This window comes from Homo sapiens, chromosome 5, assembly GCF_000001405.40.
Source record: "Homo sapiens chromosome 5, GRCh38.p14 Primary Assembly".
NCBI lineage: Eukaryota > Metazoa > Chordata > Mammalia > Primates > Hominidae > Homo > Homo sapiens.
In genome coordinates, this window is record NC_000005.10 from 153,300,791 (window position 1) to 153,308,974 (window position 8,184).

Below are 8,184 nucleotides of genomic sequence, written 5' to 3' on the forward strand. Positions count from 1 at the left end.
ATAGTATTCCATGGTGTATATACGCCACATTTTCTTAATCCAGTCTATCGTTGTTGGACATTTGGGTTGGTTCCAAGTCTTGGCTATTGTGAATAGTGCCACAATAAACATATGTGTGCATGTGTCTTTATAGCAGCATGATTTATAGTCCTTTGGGTATATACCCAGTAATGGGATGGCTGGGTCAAATGGTATTTCTAGTTATAGATCCCTGAGGAATCGCCACACTGACTTCCACAATGGTTGAACTAGTTTACAGTCCCACCAACAGTGTAAAAGTGTTCCTATTTCTCCACATCCTCTCCAGCACCTGTTGTTTCCTGACTTTATAATGATTGCCATTCTTACTGGTGTGAGATGGTATCTCATTGTGGTTTTGATTTGCATTTCTTTGATGGCCAGTGCTGGTGAGCATTTTTTCATGTATTTTTTGGCTGCATAAATGTCTTCTTTTGAGAAGTGTCTGTTCATGTCCTTTGCCCACTTTTTGATGGGGTTGTTTTTTTCTTGTAAATTTGTTTGAGTTCATTGTAGATTCTGGATATTAGCCCTTTGTCAGATGAGTAGGTTGCGAAAATTTTCTCCCATTTTGTAGGTTGCCTGTTCACGCTGATGGTAGTTTCTTTTGCTGTGCAGAAGCTCTTTAGTTTAATTAGATCCCATTTGTCAATTTTGTCTTTTGTTGCCATTGCTTTTGGTGTTTTAGACATGAAGTCCTTGCCCATGCCTATGTCCTGAATGGTAATGCCTAGGTTTTCTTCTAGGGTTTCTATGGTTTTAGGTCTAATGTTTAAGTCTTTAATCCATCTTGAATTAATTTTTGTATAAGGTGTAAGGAAGGGATCCAGTTTCAGCTTTCTACATATGGCTAGCCAGTTTTCCCAGCACCATTTATTAAATAGGGAATCCTTTCCCCATTGCTTGTTTTTCTCAGGTTTCTCAAAGATCAGACAGTTGTAGATATGAGGTGTTATTTCTGAGGGCTCTGTTCTGTTCCACTCATCTATATCTCTGTTTTGGCACCAGTACCATGTTGTTTTGCTTACTGTAGCCTTGTAGTATAGTTTGAAGTCAGGTAGCGTGATGGCTCCAGCTTTGTTCTTTTGGCTTAGGATTGACTTGGTGATGCAGGCTCTTTTTTGGTTCCATATGAACTTTAAAGTAGTTTTTTCCAATTCTGTGAAGAAAGTCATTGGTAGCTTGATGGGGATGGCATTGAATCTATAAATTACCTTGGGCAGTATGGCCATTTTCATGATATTGATTCTTCCTACCCATGAGCATGGAAGGTTCTTCCATTTCTTTGTATCCTCTTTTATTTCATTGAGCAGTGGTTTGTAGTTCTCCTTGAAGAGGTCCCTCACGTCCCTTGTAAGTTGGATTCCTAGGTATTTTATTTTCTTTGAAGCAATTGTGAATGGGAGTTCACCCATGATTTGGCTCTCTGTTTGTCTGTTATTGGTGTATAAGAATGCTTGTGATTTTTTACATTGATTTTGTATCCTGAGACTTTGCTGAAGTTGCTTATCAGCTTAAGGAGATTTTGGGCTGAGACAATGGGGTTTTCTAGATATACAATCATGTCATCTACAAACAGGGACAATTTGACTTCCTCTTTTCCTAATTGAATACTCTTTATTTCCTTCTCCTGCCTAATTTCCCTGGCCAGAACTTCCAACACTATGTTGAATAGGAGTGGTGAGAGAGGGCATCCCTGTCTTGTGCCAGTTTTCAAAGGGAATGCTTCCAGTTTTTGCCCATTCAGTATGATATTGGCTGTGGGTTTGTCATAGATAGCTCTTATTATTTTGAGATATGTCCCATCAATACCTTATTTAGTGAGAGTTTTTAGCATGAAGGTTGTTGAAATTTGTCAAAGCCTTTTCTGCATCTATTGAGATAATCATGTGGTTATTGTCTTTGGTTCTGTTTATATGCTGGATTACTTTTATTGATTTGCGTATATTGAACCAGCCTTGCATCCCAGAGATGAAGCCCACTTGATCATGGTGGATAAGCTTTTTGATGTGCTGCTGGATTCGCTTTGCCAGTATTTTATTAATGATTTTTGCATCAATGTTCATCAAGGATATTCGTCTAAAATTCTCTTTTTTGGTTGTGTCTCTGCCCGGCTTTGGTATCAGGATGATGCTGGCATCATAAAATGAGTTAGGGAGGATTCCCTCTTTTTCTATTGATTGGAATAGTTTCAGAAGGAATGGTACCAGTTCCTCCTTGTACCTCTGGTAGAATTTGGCTGTGATTCCATCTGGTCCCAGACTCTTTTTGGTTGGTAAGCTATTGATTATTGCCACAATTTCAGAGCCTGTTATTGATCTATTCAGAGATTCAACTTCTTCCTGGTTTAGTCTTGGGAGGGTGTATGTGTTGATGAATTTATCCATTTCTTCTAGATTTTCTAGTTTATTTGCATAGAGGTGTTTGTAGTATTCTCTGATGGTGGTTTGTATTTCTGTGGGATCGGTGGTGATATCCCCTTTATCATTTTTTATTGCATCTATTTGATTCTTCTCACTTTTTTTCTTTATTAGTCTCATTAGCGGTCTATCAATTTTGTTGATCCTTTCAAAAAACCAGTTCCTGGATTCATTAATTTTTGGAGGGTTTTTTGTGTCTCTATTTCCTTCAGTTCTGCTCTGATTTTAGTTATTTCTTGCCTTCTGCTAGCTTTTGAATGTGTTTGCTCTTGCTTTTCTAGTTCTTTTAATTGTGATGTTAGGGTGTGAAGTTTGGATCTTTCCTGCTTTCTCTTGTGGGCATTTAGTGCTATAAATTTCCCTCTACACACTGCTTTGAATGTGTCCCAGAGATTCTGGTATGGTGTGTCTTTGTTCTCATTGGTTTCAAACAACATCTTTATTTCTGCCTTCATTTTGTTATGTACCCATTAGTCATTCAGGAGCAGGTTGTTCAGTTTCCATGTAGTTGAGCAGTTTTGAGTCAGTTTCTTAATCCTGAGTTCTAGTTTGATTGCACTGTGGTCTGAGAGACAGTTTGTTATAATTTCTGTTTTTTTACATTTGCTGAGGAGAGCTTTACTTCCAACTATGTGGTCAATTTTGGAATAGGTGTGGTGTGGTGCTGAAAAAAATGTATATTCTCTTGATTTCTGGTGGTGAGTTCTGTAGATGTCTATTAGGTCTGCTTGGTGCAGAGCTGAGTTTAATTCCTGGGTATCCTTGTTAACTTTCTGTCTTGTTGATCTGTCTAATGTTGACAGTGGGGTGTTAACGTCTCCCATTGTTATTGTGTGGGAGTCTAAGTCTCTTTGTACGTCACTCAGGACTTGCTTTATGAATCTGGGTGCTCCTGTATTGGGTGCATATATATTTAGGATAGTTAGCTCTTCTTGTTGAATTGATCCCTTTACCATTATGTAATGGCCTTCTTTGTCTCTTTTGATCTTTGTTGGTTTAAAGTCTGTTTTATCAGAAATTAGGATTGCAACCCCTGCCTTTTTTTGTTTTCCATTTGCTTGGTAGATCTTCCTCCATCCTTTTATTTTGAGCCTATGTGTGTCTCTGCACGTGAGATGGGTTTCCTGAATACAGCACACTGATGGGTCTTGACTCTTTATCCAATTTGCCAGTCTGTGTCTTTTAATTGGAGCATTTAGTCCATTTACATTTAAAGTTAATATTTTTATGTGTGAATTTGATCCTGTCATGATGATGTTAGCTGGTTATTTTGCTCGTTAGTTGATGCAGTTTCTTCCTAGCCTTGATGGTCTTTACAATTCGGCATGATTTTGCAGTGGCTGGTACCAGTTGTTCCTTTCCATGTTTAGTGCTTCCTTCAGGAGCTCTTTTAGGGCAGGCCTGGTGGTGACAAAATCTCTCAGCATTTGCTTGTCTGTAAAGTATTTTATTTCTCCTTCACTTATGAAGCTTAGTTTGACTGGATATGAAATTCTGGGTTGAAAATTCTTTTCTTTAAGAATGTTGAATATTGGCCCCCACTCTCTTCTGGCATATAGGGTTTCTGCTGAGAGATCCGCTGTTAGTCTGATGGGCTTCCCTTTGTGGGTAACCTGACCTTTTTCTCTGGCTGCCCTTAACATTTTTTCCTTCGTTTCATCTTTGGTGAATCTGACAATTTTGTGTCTTGGAATTGCTCTTCTTGAGGAGTATCTTTGTGGCATTCTCTGTATTTCCTGAATCTGAATGTTGGCCTGCCTTGATAGATTGGGGAAGTTCTCCTGGATAATATCCTGCAGAGTGTTTTCCAACTTGGTTCCATTCTCCCCGTCACTTTCAGGTACACCAATCAGACATAGATTTGGTCTTTTCACATAGTCCCATATTTCTTGGAGGCTTTGTTCCTTTCTTTTTATTCTTTTTTCTCTAAACTTCCCTTCTCACTTTATTTCATTCATCTTCCATCACTGATACCCTTTATTCCAGTTGATCGCATCATCTCCTGAGGCTTCTGCATTCTTCACGTAGTTCTCGAGCCTTGGCTTTCAGCTCCATCAGCTCCTTTAAGCACTTCTCTGTATTGATTATTCTAGTTATACATTCGTCTAAATTTTTTTCAAAGTTTTTAACTTCTTTGCCTTTGGTTTGAATTTCCTCCTGTAGCTTGGAGTAGTTTGATCATCTGAAGCCTTCTTCTCTCAACTCATCAAAGTCATTCTCCATCCCACTTTGTTCTGTTGCTGGTGAGGAACTGCATTCCTTTGGAGGAGAAGAGGCGCTCTGCTTTTTAGAGTTTCGTTTTTCTGCTCTGTTTTTTCCCCATGTTTGTAGTTTTATCTACTTTTGGTCTTTGATGATGGTGATGTACAGATGGGGTTTTGGTGTGGCTGTCCTTTCTGTTTGTTAGTTTTCCTTCTAACAGAAAGGACCCTCAGCTGCAGGTCTGTTGGAGTTTGCTAGAGGTCCACTCCAGAACTTGTTTGCCTGTGTATCAGAAGCAGCGGCTGCAGAACAATGGATTTTTGTGAACCGCAAATGCTGCTGTCTGATCGGTCCTCTGGAAGTTTTGTCTCAGAGGGGTACCCGGCCGTGTGAGGTTTCAGTCTGCCCCTACTGGGGGGTGCCTCCCATTTAGGCTGCTTGGGGGTCAGGGGTCAGGGACCCACCTGGAGGAGGCAGTGTGCCCATTCTCAGATCTCCAGCTGCATGCTGGGAGAACCACTGCTCTCTTCAAAGCTGTCAGACAGGGACATTTAAGTCTGCAGAGGTTACTGCTGTCTTTTTGTTTGTTTGTGCCCTGCCCCCAGAGGTGAAGCCTACAGAGGCAGGCAGGCCTCCTTGAGCTGTGGTGGGTTCCACCCAGTTTGAGCTTCCTGGCTGCCTAAAGAAGCCTGGGCAATCGTGGGCACCCCTCCCCCAGCCTCGCTGCTGCCTTGCAGTTTGATCTCAGACTGCTGTGCTAGCAGAGAGACTCCGTGGGCATAGGACCCTCCGAGCCAGGTGCAGGATATAATCTCCTAGTGCACCATTTTTTAAGCCCGTCAGAAAAGTGCAGTATTAGGTGGGAGTGACCCAATTTTCCAGGTGCCGTCTGTCACCCCTTTCTTTGGCTAGGAAAGGGAACTCCCTGACCCCTTGCACTTCCTGAGTGAGTCAATGCCTCGCCCTGCTTTGGCTCATGCATGGTGTGCTGCACCCACTGTCCTGTGCCCACTCTCTGGCACTCCCTAGTGAGATGAACCCGGTACCTCAGATGGAAATGCAGAAATCACTTGTCTTCTGCGTTGCTTACGCTGGGAGCTATAGACCAGAGCTGTTCCTATTTGGCCATCTTGGCTGCCCCCCGCCTGATCCTCTGTTTTCTAAGCTGAAAAATGGGAAAGAAAATTGCTAGCTACTGTCAAAGAAAACCAGAGCTGTGTTGGGGCTCAGAATACGATAGCCCAAAGAACATTACTTTGGTATGCTGATTACTTTGACCTAAGGAGATTGGAAGGCCTCAAAAGCAAAGTCTGTCTGATCTTCTCCTGTTCTTCTGTCTCCCAACCATCTTTCTCCCCCTGAAGCAATTCACCAAAACCAAAATTACTCTTCTGCAAGGCAGTTCATAGAAATTAGAACCCCTCTCCCCCGAAGTCAGCCATAAAGCCAAAAAGTCGCTTCTCTCTTCTCCTTTCAAGACCCTCATTCCAGAGTAATCCTGCCCTATACCCAGAAAGAAGGAATGTTACAGAAAGAAGTCAAGAAGAATCTGAACAGGCAGGCCTTGCTGGGTTTTCCCCCTCATTCTCTCACCTTTAAATTATATCCTTTTGTCCAATCACATTTCCACCTGGCTGTCCATTCTTCACTAAACATAAGCATAAAAAAGGGCAGTTTTCTCTGGGTCCTTGGGTCTTCATTTCTGAAGGCTCTTGTATCAAGTAACACTTTGATTAAATAAAAGTGTTATGCTTTCCTCTTATTAACCTATCTTTTGTTATAGGAATGTCAGCTGTGACTCTTATTATAGGTGAGAAAACATATCACACCTTTTTACCTGTACAGCTGGATAGTAAAGTGGTAAAAATAGATTTTATTCGGGACTAATAGAGGGAAGGAGTCCTTTGTATAGAACTGGGCTCAATTCCAAATACAACATAGGCAACTGGGAATATATAGCAAAGGGTGGGGGATCAGTGGATGACAAATTACTGAGAGGAAATATGAGAGATAAAAGGGAATTTTAGCTAAACTGACCTAGTGGGATTCTTGCTAAAGACAAGCCAGGTTGATCAAACATCACTAGGGATTGAGTTTGGTAGAGGATGAGAAACCCAATTAGATCTCCTGGATAATCTGATATGAAGGACGGGGGTTCTGGCTAAACCAGACCTCCCTTCCTAGTAGTATGTGTGCGCCTGCATTTCTGATCAATTAATGGGTTTATCTCACTCATAATTTCATCATCTTTCCAATTCATTCCTTTGTATAATTTTTTAATTATATTTTTACTCTGAAGTATTACACAACTACACAAACATATTTAAAACATAAATGGACAGACTAATGTATTATTATAAAATAAGATGTGTGTAACCATCTTGACCCATCTAGGTCAAGAAATAGAAATAAACACCACTCCAGAATCATCCTCCTTTTCACATTTCTTTATCGCTAATTTAATCCCTTTTCTCTCACAGAAGAAACCACATTCTGAGTTTTATAGCATTCACTCCCTTGACTTGTTTTACAATTTCACCACCTAAGCATGCATTCCTGAACACTACTGGTTTCGTTTTTTTAAATATAGCAGTATAATAAAGATACAATGTACATATCATGCAATTTGCCAACCTAAAATATATAATTCAATAGTTTTAATAAATTCAAAGAGTTGTACAGCCATCATCATGATTGTAAAACATTTTCTTCACTTTCTTCACTGCCAAAAAAGCACTCACTTCCCATTTTTTTAATCCAACACCCCAACCCTTGAGAAAATAATCTACTTTCTGTGTCTGTAGATTTACCTTATATTTTTTAAAAGTGGAATCATACAATATAAACTCTTTCATGACTAGCTTTTCACTTAGCAAAATGTCTTCAAAGTTCTCTCATGTTTAAGCATATATCAGTACCTCATTCTGTTTTATTGCCAAACATTATTTCACTGTGTAAATACAGGTATACCTTGTTTTATTGCATTTCACTTTATTGCACTTTGCAGATATTACAGTTTTTACAAATTGCCCCACAGCATGAAGCCTCTGATCCTACTCTGCAGAGTGTAGCCTTGGTCACGTGCATAGTCACCCTGGGATGCCAGTGGCTTTAGCAAGGCTCTCTCAAGTTTCTCTTTCCATGATCTTTCTGTTAAGCCTTCTGTCACTGTTATCACTCCAAGCTATTAGGCTCCACTAATTGCCAGCTAATTGCTCTATTGTTTTAGAAAATATTCTAGAACATAAATTAATCTGCAGTCTACTCTAATTAAATTTTGGCTTCTTTACACAGGTAGCTTTGCACAGGTAGTCTTTGAGGTTTCTTCTGACACCAAGAGGGCTCTTATATCTCTCTTTCCCTGGTTCTCTCAGGTAAACTAGCTGGCCTACAGTTTATCTTGTTGCTTTCATGGACCTACCAGCCTCCTCTCAATTGCTTACCAAAATCTCCATTGCTTCTGAGAGCACACTTAGACTTAAACTTTCAAAATAAAATCAATTCCCTTGGGAAAAACTTCAAAACTGTTTATTCTTATAGCCTG

At 40.1% G+C, this 8,184-nt stretch overlaps 1 annotated feature.

Annotated features, from left to right (window-relative positions):
• Nucleotides 5,068–6,267: an enhancer, noted in NCBI's record as "P300/CBP strongly-dependent group 1 enhancer chr5:152685418-152686617 (GRCh37/hg19 assembly coordinates)". NCBI's record gives its function as "activates an origin of replication core promoter dependent on BRD2, BRD4, P300/CBP, MED14 and CDK7 cofactors, with strong dependence on P300/CBP, by STARR-seq in HCT116 cells {active_cell/tissue: HCT116}" and the evidence as "EXISTENCE:reporter gene assay evidence [ECO:0000049][PMID:35650434]".